The following is an 18,353-nucleotide window of genomic DNA, read 5'->3' as shown; positions in this document are numbered from 1 at the left end:
TATTAGGAGTCACATATAATTTTGAAATACATATTCATAATATATTCATAAAATATAACTCAGAGAATGTTAAGTACCATTTATTTTATGATGCTTTCCATTTTATTTAACATATCAAATAAGCCTATTTATTGTCTCTTTTTTGGATGCTTCAGGGACCTTTTGGAACATCCTAAAGTTAGTTTGAAGGAAAAAAGAGTTAATTTTAGAATTTGAAATTTGATTTTAGGAAGCCTATCAAATATGCCAAAGGTTTTAAACACTATCAAAATAGAATCACAGATTACGGCAAAATAATAGTAATTAATTTAGCCTAACTGATAATTAAAAGGTTTTCAAAAGCAAAAATCCTTATTCGTTGATGAAGAGGAGATTCAGTTTTCCAAATAATCAAAAGACATAATAAAGACAGCACAAAACAAAATCTGTCTCTCCTCTATTTTTCTTTGCATTTTACTCAAAAGGTGGACGAACATCTTTCACTCTTATTAATACTACAATAAATTCTTATTCAAAGGAGAAAACAGAATTTTACTTTTTTCCCCTGTGAACTCTGCAGAGAATTATGAATTTTACTTTTGTGTTAGTATATAATCAATACTACTGCTAATTTTAAGAAAACCTTATAAACAAATACATTCACCTTCAATCAGCTTTTGAACACACAAGATTTCCATAATCCTTTTTATAGCCTCTTGCATTTTTTTCTATTTTCCCCCAACCTTGAATATCCATTTAATTTTATTTATATAATTTTTTCATTTTGAAAGAACCTTTAAATAACCTCTAAACTAGACAAAATTATTTTTTCTCAACAAATACACATTTTAATTTTCTCATCAAAAACAATCTTGCTTTTCTTGTACACTTTACATATAGAATTATTTATTTTATTGTATTTATTTTTTTTAAGACAGAGTCTCATTCTGTCACCCAGGCTGAAGTGCAGTGGCGCAATCTTGGCTCACTGCAACCTCCACCTCCCAGGTTCAAGCCATTCTCCTGCCTCAGTCTCCCTACTAACTGTGGTTACAGATGTGTGCCACAATGCCTGGCTAATTTTTGCATTTTTAGTAGAGATGGGGTTTCACTGTGTTGGCCAGGCTGGTCTCCAACTCCTGACCTCAAGTGATCCTCCCAGCTTGGCCTCCCAAAGTGCTAGGATTACAGGCATGAGACATCGTGGCCAGCTAAATTATTTACTTTAGTAGTTATAATTACATATATTAACTTAAATTTTAACTCTTAGTAATTCTAACTTCCAGTGTAAAACCTAGGAAGTTAATGATTTTGAAGTGTTTTATATCAGTATCTGCAGATAAAAACCATTTCATAATTGTTTAGAAAGATGTTTCCTCAATTATTTTTAATAGATCTAAATATATTTACATTTTCAATATCATATACAAATAAGATGCTAAGGCATAAATTTATGTTAATAATTAATACTTCAATATTTTAACTTCTTAGAAATGACTCAGATATTTAATGAGTATTTATTTCTGAATTTATTCTTATTTTTTATTTTTATTTTTTGAGATAGATCTTGCTTTGTCACCCAGATTGGAGTACAGTGGCATGATCTTGGCTCACTGCAATTTTTGCCTCCCATGCTCAAGTCATTCTCCCACCTCAGCCTCCCGAGTAGCTGGGACTACAGGCACACACCACCGTGCCTAGCTAATTTTTATATATTTTGTAGAGTTGCATCTCACCATGTTGCCTAGGCTGGTCTCAAATTCCTGGGGTCAAGTGATGCTCCCACCTCAGTCTCCCAAAGTGCTTGGATTATAGGAATGAGCCATTGCTCCTTTCCCTATTTCTGAATTTAACGCAGCTTTAAGATTTTAAGTTTCTGAAAATAATTTTGAAAAAATAACGTAGGTATTCTCCCTAATGTCCTGAGTGGCACCTAGGATGGCTAGGAAGGCCAGGGCCCATCTGGGTCCCTAATTTACACACCAGGTGTAGAGTCAAGGACTGAGGACAGAGCTATGAAAAGGATGTCTGGAGGATCCAACCCCTCTCAGCATGGCCAGCAGGCAAAGCTGGAGGAGGAAGGGCAGGGCCATAGTGGGCTTGGCTGTGTCCTGCTGCTAGTGGCCCAGGTACAGTGGACATACACGTCTCCAGGCCTCACCATGACCACCTCTCCAGGCCTCAGAATTCAAAGGCTCAAAATCAAAGATATAAGCTCACAGTAAGATGTGTGAAAGGCTTCAGGGGAACCCAGTAGCCAGCCTTTTCAGTGTCAGCTTACAGACAATCAAGCACGTATCAAAATTTGACAGAAGCAGCAATTTTATGACCCTAAAACATATAGCAAAAACAGCATAAACCTTTCTGACCAGTAGACCCAGAAAAAAAAGTCTGAATTATATTTAGTATTGACAATTCTGAAGACATTCCTATTTTATTTTGCCAACAATGTAAAAACTTGCTTCATTTGACAAATATTATATAAGATCAGAAAGAAATATCTGATACACATAACACTTACAGACATATAGACAGACACGGACAAGGGCAGAAGTTAAAATTTTCAGAAAAATTTTTCATTTACTAGTTTCCAAATAGTTTTTCTTTCCCCCAATTCAGACTATCAATATTCCAATTACCTGTTTCATTGTTCTAAGCAATTGTTAGCTAGAAAACCCTAAAATTTCACTTCTAAAAGGATGACTTTTAGGTAAAACAAGGTAGAAATTTTATCTCTCAAATGCATACAGCTGAGACTTTAGACCTAAATATTGTACCATCTTTTGCTCAAATCAAGGAGGGAGGATGTGGATAAATGCCCAGTTAAGACAGGATGGATAGGAAAAGGTACTTTAGAGGAGACTTGTTACATAAATGTAAGTCAATGATAAGAGTCTCTAGTAACTTAGTCTTTCCTCTCTTCCTGCTGCACAGAGGCAGACACCCTTAAAAATGGAGGTTTCCTTTATAGATGTAAATTTCCTTTACAGATATGTTTCAAAATAGCCAGCTAAATGCCAGAAAGGTGAATTTGGAGACCAATTTAGTTCAATAGGCAGTCTTTTTAAGTTAGCCACTATTTTTTAGCTAAAATTACTGAGTTCAGGTTGGAGCCCATTAATTAATAAGGCGAGGAAATAATTCTCTATGTGTGGACTCGGTATGGATAGCTCTGAAAAAGAAAAAAGCCTACTTTACTTGAGGGCCTACCTTTCATGAACACTTTATATAATTCTCTTTTTATCTTTGGGGCAGGATAGTAACTAAGCCAAAAGATTAGCAGATTCAATTTTTCTTATCAATTAGTTGCTTAAGCTTTTTGTTTGCCTTTTGAAAGGCTTTTAAAAGAGGCAATAGAAATATTAACATTTTTAAGAATGTTCTGCACATCAATAGGTGTCCCTGGATATGCCTAATTTGGGAGCCTTCATTTTTAAATGCAGTTCTTAAAGTGTGGTGTTGGTGTTGTTTATTTGGAGCATTCCACTATAATTTTAAATTATCTTTATAAGATTTTGCCATTTTTGTAAGTACTTGCAGCTTGTGGGACCTAATAATTATACATGTAGAGGTATGGGATAGACAAAAGTGGAGCACTCAGTTCATCAGAAATTAAGGATTCCATTTTTATATTGAAAATTGGTTTTGGCTCTCACATCTTGATCAACTAAGCCGAAGATTTTTCCCTACCTCATGCATTAGAAAAAGAAACAAAAGGGATAGAACACAAAATCCTGGTGAATTTCTGAAAGCCAGAGTTCACACCTTCTGCAGTATTGCCATTTACTGCCAGTTTGTCTAACCAGTCAGCCATCTAAGAATTCTAACTGGATATAATCCAATTAGTTATTGAGTCTAACCCAGTCCAGTGTCTGTCATGACTTCTGTACCCAGTTAAGATAAAAAATGTGCCCATACAAATTCAGATAGTCAAAACACAAACGCATGGGGATCTCCATAATCTGAGAGACAACTTACCCATGATCCCCAGTTGATTCGAGAGAGCAACAGATACAATGGAGCTGGTGTACCTTGCTTAATCACTCAGTGCTCCTGGGGGTTGCTGGAAGCTCTACTTCAAATCCCACTTCTGAGGCCATCTGTTAAAAGAAAACCTGTAGAAAAATTAAATTTTAAACTCAGTTAAAGAACAATTCAAGAGTCAGGCAGCCCTCAGAACAAGAATATGTTCAGAGCGACTCTTAGGCTGTCGCATGGTCAGATGACATTTATGGACAGGAAAAGAAAAGTGATGTACAGAAGATTTCCATCTTGGTACAGAAGATGGGAATGAGATACAGAAACAGTGTTTGAACATGTTTTGAACAATTGGCCACCTGTGATTGGCTGAAACACTGTGATTGGTAGAAGAGTAGTTTCTAGTCTGCTTAGAAATTTTTAAGTCAAACTTAAAATATATAAGGAGGTAGCCCTAGGCTCAATTTAATTTGACAATATGATTTTATTTATATTAGTGTTTACAGATGAGAATGTCAAGGCCCTAGAAGGACTTGCTACTTTGTGGAAAGGTCAGAATTACAACCCAAACCTCAATCATCTGGGCTAGTAAGTTTTTTACTGAAGCATCATTCACATTGCACCTAAGTGTAATTAAAAGATCAAGGATTAAGGAGAATAAAAATACTCGAATGGAGGTGGGATAAATGAAGGATCCAATAAATTTGTTTTATTATAGCTATGTTTATATGCTGATCACCCTAGTATGTAAAAGAAAACCAAAGGACTGAAAAGGACTGAATGAAATGTATTCTTCATTTGAAACCCCTACTCCCTTTTTTGAGCATTTTTATGGAGTAAAAGGTATGTACTGTGCCTTAGTTTTTGGGCTTTTTTTTTTTTTTTTTTTGATACCGAGGCTCACTCTTCTCTCACTCTTCTTGCCCAGGCTAGAATGCAATGGTGCCATCTCGGCTCACTGCAACCTCGGCTGCCTCTTGGGTTCAAGCAATTCTCCTGCCTCAGCCTCCCAAACAGCTGGGATTACAGGCACGTGCAACCACGCCTGGCTAATTTTTGTATTTTTAGTAGAGATGGGGTTTCACCATGTTGACCAGGCTGGTCTCGATCTTCTGACCTCGTGATCCACCCGCCTTGGCCTCTCAAAGTGCTGGGATTACATGTGTGAGCCACCGCGCCTGGTCAGTTTTTGGGCTCTTATTGGTGAAATTCTCAGTTAGTAACTAGGTAAATTTTTTTTTTTTCTTAAGAAACTTTCTCTTTTGATCGGGTTTATATGAGGGCAGGTGAATGTTTTTAAAATGACCTTTCTTTTGTCTTGGATCTCTGGCTTTTAGGAAGCAGAATGGCATGTTGAAAAACAAGGTATTTTTAGAAACTGCATCTTTCATTCACTCTTGTGGCCTGGGGCAAGTTATTCTGAGTCTCATTTTTCTTATTTGTAAAATGGTGAGATTTTATTAACTTAAGGGGTACCATGAGAAAACATGCTTGACAATGTGCTTAATTTTAACACATTGTTATTTAATTGTTTATTCAGTTGCAGGTTAGAGTTTAAAACTGAAAGAGATGTTAAAGTTTATGTCACCCAATTCCTTCAATTTATATATGAAAATATTATATATGAGCAAAGGGTCAAGCTAAGACAAATTTAGTCTGCTCATATTGCATTGATAATTATATACCTGGCTAAGTATTTCATTTTCTAAACAATACTTCTTTAAAAGACTATATAAATAAATAAATAAATAAAAATAAATATATACATATGCATTTAACAAAAGTAAAATTATAGACTATGCATTTCTAGCAAAACAATTTTAGACATGGTGAACATGTACAATAAAGCTTTATATTTCTGCCAGATTCTATCAGAAGTGTGTTGGGAAAATTTATGCAAGTATTGAAATTAAATCCTAAATTACTTACAAAATTAATTATTATATATTAAGTATCATATTATCCAAATATAAGGTTATTTGGAGTGAAAAAGACCACAATTTTCTAATAAGTGAAACTTTAAAGTTACAGAAAAGCCTTTGTTCTAGGAAATATAACTTTGTTAATATAACAATAATAACAATGCATCATAATTACATATAAGCAAGCAAAAAATGAAAATCTTTCTTTTTCTATTTTAGCCTTGGGAGAATGAATTGGTTTTATAGATGAAGTGATACAGCTGCTCCCCAGCAGTTACTCAACATATATTCATATAACTTGCCCACAGATGTGAAACCTCTCGGAGCCTGCTTTTCAAAAAGATACTAAGCTCAAAGTGTTTACAGCATACTTTTTGACCCTGACCCTGTCACTTTCCTCTCTCCTCAAACCACTATGAGGGGTTTGTAAAAAACCTTAAAAATACCAGTGTCAGCTTTTTCAAAATTTTTCATATTTTTTTTCAGTGACAGCTTTTGTGTCTTGGGACTGCAGGGGTGACTCTGTGCACTGTTAGTGCTGAGATTCCTGAGCTCCCCAGCACCAGCCTGTGCCTCACTGCCTAGCTCCCTGCTGGGCATATCCTGTCATGTCAAGGATTATAACTAGATTGTGAAAGTTAGGTTATTTTGTTTTGAATGCATTTCCTTAGATTTTCTTAAGCTATAAAATGGTTTGGATATGATGTTTGTTTTACACATATAAAATACAGTCACAAAATAGCACTTTATGAATTCAAGTACTTTTTTGAAGTGAAGTAAATATTGATGCAATTATTAATTGCATTATTAATTTTTTCCTTTTTCATAAGGAAAAAGAGAGCAGAGAATACAATTCTTCAGATGCTTATGCCTTCAGACAAAAAGGTTAGAAATCCTAAAAAATAGAAATCATAAAAAGTAAACTTTTTAGTTAAAATAGGTTTTGCAAAATTATTGAGGAATAAATAATATAAAATTCCCAAAGTAAAAAATAAACATAGAAATCTTGAGTAATTAGACACGATTTTAATTTACTTAATGATATTTTCTGTATCACATATAAAAGGAGATAGAGACTATCTGGCCTATCAGCACAACGCTGGGCTTTTAAATTGTGAGTTATTCAGGTGAGTGTGGAAGTGACAAAATTTTCATCATTATAAAAGTCTTCTATGCTCATTAAAAAATTGAGCTATTCAAATATACTCTTTCGACATCCAAATATCATTGTTTGAATAATCTGTTATTTGGCTTTTTGTTTATTAATTATCAACAGGACTCAACAAGAGATGAAGGCAATGAGACTGAAGCCAACAGCATGAACACATTAAGAAGGACAAGGAAGAAAGTCACTAAACCATATGTTTGTTCAACTGAAGTGGGAGAAACGGATATGTCCAATTCAAATGGTATCTAACTACTCTGAGTCCTCAAAAATGGTGTGGTCAGAGGCAATCTCCATTTGGTCTTTCTTTTCATAAAACATCTTCATTTCTTTTTTGGGAGAAGCAAAAGGACAAATAAAAGTTATTCCTACATAAGTGTCATAAAAGATGGCAAATATAAGCTTACAACGTAAATATATAAAAATAACCAATCAAAATATTTACAATGTAAAGAGGGTTAGAATTAGGATGACAGTAGTAGAAAAAAAAAAGAACAAACAGAGGAATGTATGAGTAGGAAGAGAGACAGTTTTCTGCTCTGAAAATGAATACAAAAATCATTACAGAGGATTTGAGGGGCCATAAGAAAGGTATGGAAGGTGTTTTCATAACACATTTTGGAACTCCAACTAGATTTCAACAGATGTGAGACACTGCTAAAACTAGAAGTTAATTTGGGCAACAGGCTCAATCCTAGGAATCATTGTGTCCTAAGGCAGGACAGTAGGAATTCCCAGCATATGGTTACAATAAAAAGCAGTCAGATTTTAGTAGATTTTATTATTTATTTATTTATTTTTAATTAATTAATTTATTTTTTTGAGACAGAGTCTCACTCTGTCACCCAGGCTGGAGTGCAGTGGCATGATCTTGGCTCACTGCAATCTCTGCCTCCTGGGCTCAAGTGATCCTCCTGCCTCAGCCTCCTGAGTAGCTGGGTTTACAGGGCATGCCACCATGCCACGCTAATTTTTTATATTTCTAGTAGAGATGGGGTTTCACCATGTTAGCCGGTCTGGTCTCAAACTCCTGACCTCAAATGATCCACCTGCCTCAGCCTTCCAAAGTGCTGGGATTACAGGCTACAGACATGAGCCACCTCACCTGGCCTGTTTTTAAATTCTCTATAAACAATGCACTTTCTTGGCCAGTGACTAGGGTAGACCACTCCCATTGCCCCTCATTTAATATGTCACTGCTAGAAATATACTATTTTCTCAAGTATTCCTCTCCATATTATATTAAGAGACAGTTGAAAACAGTGGAAACATATTTTAACATTTTTCCTTATTACTACAGAGAGGATCAGAAACCAAATGGTGTGCCACAAATTAGGGAACACAAGCAAACCTATCATGGGACCTGGCTCTGCTGAGTCTCATCTGTCATATGATGACAAGGACTCTCAGGATGAGACAACAGTGATAAAACCTTTGCCCCCCAGAACAACAACCAATGTTCCTGGAGGTGAATTTAACCCAAACTCTGGTAAGGATTTACTGGTAAGGATTCTGGAACAAACTGGTATGTGGTTCTAGCCACTAACCCTAAGTCTGTATTTGAATTAGAGAGAATGTAATGTTGGTTGAGGAATACTAGCCCGGGAGTCAGAACACTTACAAAGATTTTTATACCTATCTTTTATAAAATACTTTGTAGTTTTCTTTACCCTTTAGGCTGTTCATCTGGAAAATAGAGGGGTTGCAATGGAAGATGTCTTGCCTTTTCTAAAAGTAAAATCCTATTATTCTAAGTTTCTGGCTTATTAATAGTGATGTAACTATTTTGGTACATGAGTGTATTGGTTAAAACTCACTTGAATTAAAATGCTGGAAATTAGTTACAAAAGCAAATCTAAAAGCCAGGCACAGTGGCTTACACCTGTAATCCCAGCACTTTGGGAGGCTGAGGAGGGGAGATCACTTGAGGCCTGGAATTCGAGACCAGCCTGGGCAACATAGGCAGACCCTGTTTCTACACAATAAAAAAATTAGCTGGTATGGTGGCAGATGCCTGTGGTCCTAGCTACTCAGGGGAATGAGGTGGGAGGATCACTTGAGCCCAGGAGGTTGAGGTGAGTTGTGATTGTGCTACTGCATTCCAGCCAGGGTAACAGAGAGAGACCTTACCCCCCTACCCCACTCTGAAAAAAGGAAATCTATAATGACAGGGTTAAACATACAAGATTTGGAAAGATGAGAATATACCAGAGTGGGACGTTAGAGGGATAGTGTCTACCACATTACCCTCATTTCTGACACCAATTACAAGTTTTGGAATCCCCCAAGTTAATCTTAGTTTTGGTAATTTGCTGGAAAGACTTACTGAACTCACTGAAAGCTGTTATATTCAAGGTTATGGTTTATTACACTAAAAGGATACAGATTAAAAATCAGCCATGGGCAGTCCAGGCAAGTTCTAAGCACAGAATGTTCACTTGTCCTTTCTTAGTGGAGTTATGGACAGACAGCACTATTCTCTTGGCAATAACGTGAGGAATATTGCCAACCAAGGAAGCTCACTTGAGTCTTGGTGTCCAGAGTCTTTACTGGGGCTTCATGGTTAACTGGGCATTTGGCTGACTTCACTCTCCAGCCGCTTTGGGGATCAAGCAGTTACTGCATGACTTGAAGTCACCACTATAAGTAACATTGTTAGAGTTTCTGGCGTGGCCTAGAACCCCTTGGTAAACAAAGACACTCTTGTCAGGCAAGACATTCTAAATGCTTGGAGATTATCTCCCAGGGACCAAGGGCAAAGACCAGAGCTCTCTTTGGGCAAGGTTAAATCCTTTAGTACACACAGGGCCTAAGGAAGAGCTAGAGCCTGGAAAGTAAACACAAACTTATTATCTTTTTAAAAATACAAGTGTACTATCTCACAGTTTTGTATGTTAGAAGTCTAGGTTGGCTCATCTGGTTTCCTTGTTTCAGGTTTTCCAAGGCTGAAGTCAAGGTATTGCCATCTGGTTTCTTATCTAGAGACTCCAGGCAACAGTACATTTACAAGTTCATTCAGATTGTTGAGAGAATCCAGTTCTTTGTGACTGTAGAAGTGAGGTTCTTGTGTCCTGGCTGGTTGTCAGCTGGGGTGGCCCTTATCTCCCAGAATCCTTTCTGTGGTTTTATATCTCAGAGATAGCAATGCCTCAAATCCTTCTCATATTTAGAGCTTTTCTGAATTCCCCTTCTTCCACATCCCTTTTCTGCCTTCAGCTGGAGAAAGCCATCTAATTTCAAGGGCTTAGATGGATAATCCAAGATAATATCCCTATTTTAAGGTCCATAACCTTAATTACATTTGCAAAGTCCCTTTTGCCATGCAATTTAACATATTCACATATTCCAGAGATTAGGTATGGAAGAAATTTTCGAGGGGTTATTCTGCCTACTGATACCGAAAAGAGGCAGGGAAATACTGCATAGAAGAGGGCAGTCCCCTGGCAAAGGCCCCACCCTCAAGCCTGGAAACCCATGGCCCTGAATAGGAACAGACATTTCTGTTTTTGTTCCAAAATGTTGCCTTTTCCAAGACCACTCTGGCCCACCATGTCCCTATCCTATGCCCATATAAACCCCAAGCTCCACTGACAGAGCAGGAGAACAGAATGGCAGAGAGGGAAGGAGCATCTGAAGGTGGGGAGGAGTTCAGCTGGGGACGGTCGGAGAGGAGATCCGTCGCGGGACAGCCGAACTCCAGGGGAAAGTCATATTCCCACTCCATCCCATTTCCTGCTCCCCAACCATCCCACTGAGAGCCACCTCCATCACTCAGTAAAATCCCCACATTCACCATCCTTCTAGTCCATGTGACCTGTTTCTTCCTGGACTCCGGACAAGGAGCCAGGTACCTAGAGAATAGGGTGTAAAAGGCCGTTACCCGGAATTTCCACTGAGCTGGTTAACAGCCGTCCGTGGATGGCAAAACTAAAAGAGCATGGTAACACCCCTAAACACTGCTGTAGGGCCGCAACCCAAAAGCGCTCACCTTGGCTCACCTGCATGTTCCCCCTCCCATAAGTGGTTTGAGTGCAGTGGCCGAGTAAATGAGTCATGTCCCTGTTGCATGCTCCGCGAGGAGGTCAGGGAACTCTCCCATCTCACTACCACACCGTCTCTCATAAGTGAATTTCTCTCTACTTTGGCTTTATGAATTTCTCCAAAGTGAAGAGCATGAGCACTAACAACCTCTGAACATCAGGCGGCTGTTGATACAAATACCCACAGGGGCCAGACGGTTAATACAAAAGATGGGCTGGTGTAAGAACATAGGGAGTGGTTCTGGTCATGAGAAAACTGGAGCAGAGAGCAACAGACTATGGCCCAAAGGCTAAATTCAGCTTGCTGGTCAGTTTTTCTAAGTAATGTTTACAAATTGTTTATAGCTGCTTTTGTGCTAAAATGACATTGTGCTAAATGAGTAGCTGCAACGAATACCATATGGCCTACACGGTTGCAAATATTTACTATCTGGTCCTTTACAGAAAATGCTTGCCACCCCGTGAAGTAGAGGTTGCCTGCCCATCTAGACTACCTCAGAGTTCCAACCAGTTGTTGCTATGGAGAAATACCTACCCAGGGTTGCCAGATCTAGTTTCAAAATAAATTTGAACTCAAGATTTTTACATAAAATTTTCTAATAGTGAAGTGCTGTCCACTATTTCAAAAAAGTTTCTAAACACTGGGAAGACTAATCAGATAACATCTGCTGGCCACATTGACTCCTCCACAGTTTGTGGTCATTGTTTTATATATTCTAGTTTTAGCTACAAAAGAGAGAGGGATTTACCATTTCTTTGTCTTAAGCCAGAAATCTGGAGAAAGATCTTGTATCATGAGCTCTCTTTGCACTGTCAATTGTGACTTACAGCATGGGTACCATTACTAACTCAACTTCTTTAGCTCAGAAGCTCCCTTTTTGGCTCAGGGTGTATTAAGTTCTCTATAGGCCTTCAGTACTAAAAATTTAAACTGCAAACCAATACATATACATAATTTAAAAATAAACTCCCAAAATAAGTGTAAGGAATTTTGATATGGTATTTCTTCTTTGGAATAACTTCTCTAAGTTTTTCCAAAACTAATACTTTTTTTTTTTCAAAGAAAAGCCCCCTTTCCCTCCCACTTTTTATTGTATTGCTTTTTTTCCCTGCTTTGTACCTGGTTATTCTGCCACCTGGGCTTTCCAACAATGTCTGCGCTAATATGATGTGGCCAGAAGGTAGCACAAACAGGGTGGCTCTCACCATAGCCACAATGATGAAAGATGGCTGGACCTTGAAAGAGCATGGTACATTATGCTAGGTGTGCAATAAGCTGAATGTATTCCAGAGTTTTCTCGCAAGTGCACTTTTCCCTTTCTTTGAATTGGTATTTCTGAAAGCCCAAACATCTCTTCAATCTCCCTTTTATATGTGACCATGGCTTGCTCTCTATATATAACTGATATATGTCCTCATTGTCACTGAACACAAACAAAATTTCTCCAAGGCCTCCTAGTTGCTATAGAGCTTTAAGGTTTTTTTTTTTTAATATTTTCTTATTTTTTCCCTAAACATTCACAGCATTAAAACATCTTCTATAAAAACACATTGATTTAATTTATTAATCCTCTGAGGGAATAGAAAAGAAGAAAATCTCCTAGGAACCACACTGTAGGAAAAACAAATGAGCTCCTGAACTGGCAATTATCTGCCTGCTATTCATCATGTGCAACTGGGAAAGGCTGACCAAAAGGTTTAATTGTAAATAACAAGTATGATTTATTGAAGAAAATAAATTCCGACAATGATGCAGCAAGATCAGTTGATGCCTTGAAAATGAAATGGGATTGGATAGCGTTCTCATATTTGGTGAAAGAATTGAACTTTTAAATGAAAAATCGATGCTTAGGATATGTACTAAAATATATGATGACAACTTTTACTTATTAATTAGACAAAGTCAAATCACACAGGATGTATTCATTCATTCACTCACTCACTTATTTAAAAAATATTTGTTGAGTGACTATGAGATGCCTATACTGCTACAAGTACCAAGAAAACAGCAGCAGGTAAAACTAAGCCTTGGCGCTCAAGGAGCTGATAGGCAATGGAGAATGACAGGAACATGTGAGTATACAGTGTGGCAGGTGCCAATTTGGACACTGAAGAAAACAGAAACAGAATGATACACTGTTATGTGTTGAATGGTGTTCCTCCAAAATTGTTAAAATGAAATCCTAACCTTCAGTACCTGATAGTGTGGCTGAATTTGGAGATACGTTCTTTAAAGAGGTAATTAAGGTTAACTTAGGTCAGTAGGGTGGCCCCTAATCCATTATGATTCATGTCCTCATATGAAGAAGAGTTTAGGCCACAGACATGCACAGAGAAAAGAACATGTGAAGGTGCTGGAAGAAGATGGCTGTCTAGAAGCCAAGGGGAGAGAGAGTTTAGAAGAAACAATCCTGCTGACACCTTTGGTTTCGGACCTCTAGCCTTCAGAACTATGAGAAAATAAATTTCTGTGTAAGCCGCCTGTCTGGGGCATTTGTCATAGTAGCTTTAGCAAACTAATACACGTACCCTACTCACTGTCCAGTCACAGGGCAACTTGGAGACTTCAAAATTAATCAAGGGTTAGAGCTGTCCATGTTGTGATCAAGTTTCATACAATTAATACTTCAGGTGATTATGGTTTTTTTTTTTTCCAGCCCTTTCACTGTGTGAATTTATCCCACCCTTGTATTTGATGGCATGTTTATTATCTATACTTGCCCCACATCATAATATAAAGTTCTATGAGGGTAGGGCTCTTTCTGGCTGATTCCTAGGTACACGTTCAGTATGAATAGTATGTGATGATGAAAAATATCTATGATGAGTGAATGAATATTATTATTATTTATTTATTTATTTATTTATTTATTTATTTATTTATTTTTTTGAGATGGAGTCTCACTCTGTCACCCAGGCTGGAGTACAATGGCACCATCTCAGCTCCTTGGTGGAGCTGCAACTTCCACCTCCCAGGCTCAAGAGATTCTCCTGCCTCAGCCTCCTGAGTAGCTGGGATTACAGGTGAATGCCACCATGCCTGGCTAGTTTTTTTAAAAACATTTTGTAGAGACGGGGTTTCACCATGTAGGTCAGGCTGGTCTTGAACTCCTGACCTCGTGATCCACCTGCCTCGGCCTCCCAAAGTGATGAGATTACAGGCTTGAGCCACTGCACCCAGCCAAATATTATTCTTATTTTAAAATAATATGTATTCATTGTAGAAAGTTTAGGAGACACAGATAAAGCAAAAAACTAGTAAGACTACCTGTTATCCTATTACTAGTGAACCAATAAAATTACCCTTTCTCCTTTTATAGGAGATGTCTTCTTTATAGCCTATGTATAATTGCTTATTATGTTTAGAATACTCATTATCTAAAAATTTCCATATTATTATTATTATTGGTTAAGACAGTCCCTCTTTGTTGCATAGGCTGGAGTGCAGTGGCGCGATCTTTGCTCACTGCAACCTCTACCTCCCAGGCTCAAGCGATTCTTGTGTTTCAGCCTCCTTAGTAGCTGGGACTACAGGCGCATGACACCACACCCAGCAAATTTTTGTATTTTTAGTAGAAATGGGGTTTTGCTATGTTGCCCAGGCTGGTCTTGAACTGGCCCAGGCTGGTCTTGAACTCCTGGCCCCAAGTGATCTGCCCACCTCACTCCTGCTGGTATTACAGGAGTGAGCCACCATGCCTGACCCAAATTTCCATATTTTAAAATGCCTATACATTTTGTTTTAAGGAGCATTCTTCATCTTGGGCTGAACACCCAATATTTCAGTGTAGGTTGGGAATACAGCAAGGTTAATTTAGCATGAAATACTTTAATTGCTACAGTTTAATTGTTTGTTTTAAATGGAAGGTAGTTATAAAGCCTCCGGAGTTTCAGAGTAGCCAAATGTATCAGTGATAGCACATTATCACTAATATATTTGCATATGTGGAAACAGTAATTTGTTTTTCCCATGCTTCATACTTAAAATCTACTTAATCTATGTTTCTAAACTGTCAATCTTTATGCTTAGTTTTAAAGCCTAATTATATCTTGCAAAAGAATACTCAGGTATCACTTTAAAATTATAGCTGCTCAACATCAATGATGTGAGAGATTGATGGGTGTTTGGATGCAGACTTGATCATGATAACATTTACTTGGGCTAGAGTAATTGTACTCACTTTATGCATTTAAGTAGCACTTACATGGTGCTTACTGTCTGCCAATAACTGTTAATAACTTGTTAATCCTCATAACAAGCCTATGAAGTAGGTCATATGTTATTGATGAGAAAGTCAAGTCATAAAAAGGATAAGATTGTTGCTAGGGCAAAGGCAGGATTGGAAGGGAGGTAGATGGACTTCAGTGTTTTGTGCTAACCCAAACTACACTCTGCTGCCTCTCCTAAAAGTTCTGACAGCAACTAACATTTATAATGTGTACTATTTGCCTGACCATTCTATGTGCTCTAGACATATTAATTTAATTTGTGGTAATAAGCCACCCAGCATGAATCAAAAGTCTGCATTCTAGTTTCAATTCTGCAGTGGACTGATGGTGCGGTTTGGAGTAACTCATTGTACCACTTTGGGACTCAAGCTAACGAGTTGGTTAGATTAGATGATTTATCTCCAAAGTTCTCTTCTAGCTCTACAGTTAGAATTTTCAAACTATCTTAAAAGTCTCGAAAAGAATGTTTTTTATGTTTCTAATTTTAAATTGAGTATGCAGTCCAGACTTTTCATCTCCTACACTCTCATTCTTAAAAAAAACCCACACTTTTGTTTGCTTATTTAAGCAAGTTTTAAATTTGACAGAAATATGTATATTTCTTAGAGTTAGATGCCATTAAAAAGATATAAAGCCCTTTGGGCAAAAAACTCCCAGAATGAGACAAAACCCCTGAAAATAAAACCAAATTCACTTTTAATCATATAGAAATTTAAATTTAGAAATTAACAGTTAGTTCAAGAAGCCCAAATATGTTTAATAATAGTCACCTACAGACAGGCTTTTATGGTCCCTTTTTGCTGTGAACTTATGCAAATATGTTCTAATTTCCATAAGCAAAGGGATTTTCAGTAAGTATCTACGTATGATATCGCTATATCCTTATGCAAATAATGTCAATTTTGACCTCGTCCTAACTGATAAATGATCTCTCAGGTTGTTTAGACACAGTGTTCTTGGGAAGACGGTAAAGGCAGAATAAGAAAGGTAAGATATCCAACTCTAAGCCAGTGACATGATGAATATATAATGTTTTTGTTAATAATATTGACTAATTCACTAGTCTCCAGTCTCCTTTTGCTTCTCAGTCCATCATGATCTCGTGAGTTAGAACCTATTTTTTTATTTTGCAGATTGCATGAGGGACAGCAGTCAAATTTTGACCCCACCTCAACTCTCTTCTAGAATGAAACACATTAGACAAGCCATGGCCAAAAATCGCCTCCAGTTTGTACGATTTGAAGCAACAGACCTCCACGGCGTGTCCAGGTCTAAGACTATCCCTGCACACTTTTTTCAAGTGAGTTTTACACAGTTGTGACTAAATGTAATTTCATGACCATTAGCAAGCAAACAGTTCTTATTACTCTTTCTTATTTTCTTGTAATCTTATACAGCAATTCAAGCTGAAAATCAATAACTTATTTTGTTTCTTCCCTTGTTCCTCCCAAACACATTATTGCTCCCCAAGGAGCTAAACATGTACTCTCAGCTCTCAAACAGCAATTTCTTTACCCAATAGAAATACAAAACTAATTGAGACTGGTAATTTTAGTCCTGCCTTGAATAATTTTGCTCTACAGAATTATTTTTTCTCCCTTACTGCAATTATGAAGATTATATTTTATTTGACATGAGAAAATTGCAACAGAAGACCCAAAAGCAAACATAAAAAGGAAAAAATGATTAAATAGAAAATATTTGCTAGATAAAAAATGTATTCCTTTCAGCTCCAAATTCTGATAAGAAAATATTCCATTGTTGTTGGATGACTTAATGAATATTATTAAATTCCCAAAAATGATGATATCAAGAAATATTGTGTTTTTGTTGTTTTGAGACTTCCTTAATTTTTTGTATCAGTTTTTGTCATGTGTTTATTTTGATGACTGAGTTGTTGTGTTAATTAAATATCAAATTTCTTAGCAAGGGACATCAGGTCGGTACTATTTAAGAAAGTGTGAAAGTTAAGCATCCTCTAGGTTTAACTGTTTAAAAATATTACACTTTTATCACATTAACATCAGATTCTAATTTTTAAATTTGTTTCATGTTGGGGAAAACTGGACATCTTCAAAAACTCTTTTTAAATAATTCTAACAGATTCAAACTTGTTTCTTAAGGAATTATTTGGACCTGCTTGCAGATATTGTTTCCTTGTCATTCAGGCAAGAATACATGTTGTTTAATTTTTATAAAAAATGAGGATTTTCTTGTGGACAAGCCCAGAATGTAATTCAAATGAGTCTCTTTCAATCATAAGGAAAAGTAACTGGCACTTTAACTACTTGCCAGAGCTCAATGTAAAACTGTTTGCTGTTCAGTTTTTGTCAAATTTTAATCATTTATTTTACTAATGGCACCTAAAAGTCCATATATAGGACATTACTCTAGTTTCTCAGTGGAATCCTTTTACAAAAATAAAACAGTATGCTGCTTATACTTGCTAAGGATTGATATAATTGACATAAAGAGAAAAATTCTGCATACTTTTTTTTATCCAACTGCTACTGAAAATATTTTTCATTATTTTGTTCAATATCCCACATACAAAAAACACTTTTATTCCTTGAGTTTAGCTAGAGAAAAAGTTTATCATGAGAATTTTAATGTAACTCATTATACACCTTCTCAATGGCTATATTTATTCTTAGTCCCAGTTTCCTAATAACTAACTTCCCTATTTCATTACCTAGTTATTATTATTTTGTTCTCATTTAATGATCATAGAGTATCTATATTTTTTTAAGAAGCCACTTTAAATTTATTTTTGAAACTTGTGAAGGTATAAATAATGAGTATTAGCACAATTAATATTTGTAATTTAAGAGAAAATAATTTATTTTGGAAAATTTGCTGTGAATAGACATTAAAAATAGGTTTAAGAGGCCGGGCACAGTGGCTCATGCCTGTAATCCCAGCACTTTGGGACGCTGAGGCCGACGGATCACCTGAGGTCAGGAATTTGAGACCAGCCTGGCCAACATGGTGAAACCCCATCTCTACTAAAAATACAAAAATTAGCTGGGCCTGGTGGCA

At 36.8% G+C, this 18,353-nt stretch overlaps 1 protein-coding gene across 5 annotated transcripts in view; it reads left to right on the top strand.

Annotated features, from left to right (window-relative positions):
* The window catches only part of LGSN (lengsin, lens protein with glutamine synthetase domain), a 297,657-nt gene that overhangs the window by 271,407 nt on the left and 7,897 nt on the right, over positions 1 to 18,353 (top strand). For 3 of the 5 annotated variants that reach the window (XM_047418866.1, XM_017010930.3, XM_011535892.4), the window contains 3 exons: positions 7,156 to 7,288; positions 8,345 to 8,533; positions 16,448 to 16,614. In XM_047418866.1, the coding sequence (XP_047274822.1) occupies positions 7,156 to 7,288; positions 8,345 to 8,533; positions 16,448 to 16,614 (489 nt within the window). The remainder of the gene's footprint in view (positions 1 to 7,155; positions 7,289 to 8,344; positions 8,534 to 16,447; positions 16,615 to 18,353) is intronic. The other 2 variants (NM_001143940.2, NM_016571.3) reach the window with 1 other exon arrangement.

The sequence above is a fragment of the Homo sapiens genome, chromosome 6 (assembly GCF_000001405.40).
Source record: "Homo sapiens chromosome 6, GRCh38.p14 Primary Assembly".
Classification (NCBI taxonomy): Eukaryota; Metazoa; Chordata; class Mammalia; order Primates; family Hominidae; genus Homo; species Homo sapiens.
The sequence above is the reverse complement of the archived record's forward strand: the minus strand, read 5'-3'. Positions and strand labels throughout refer to the sequence as shown.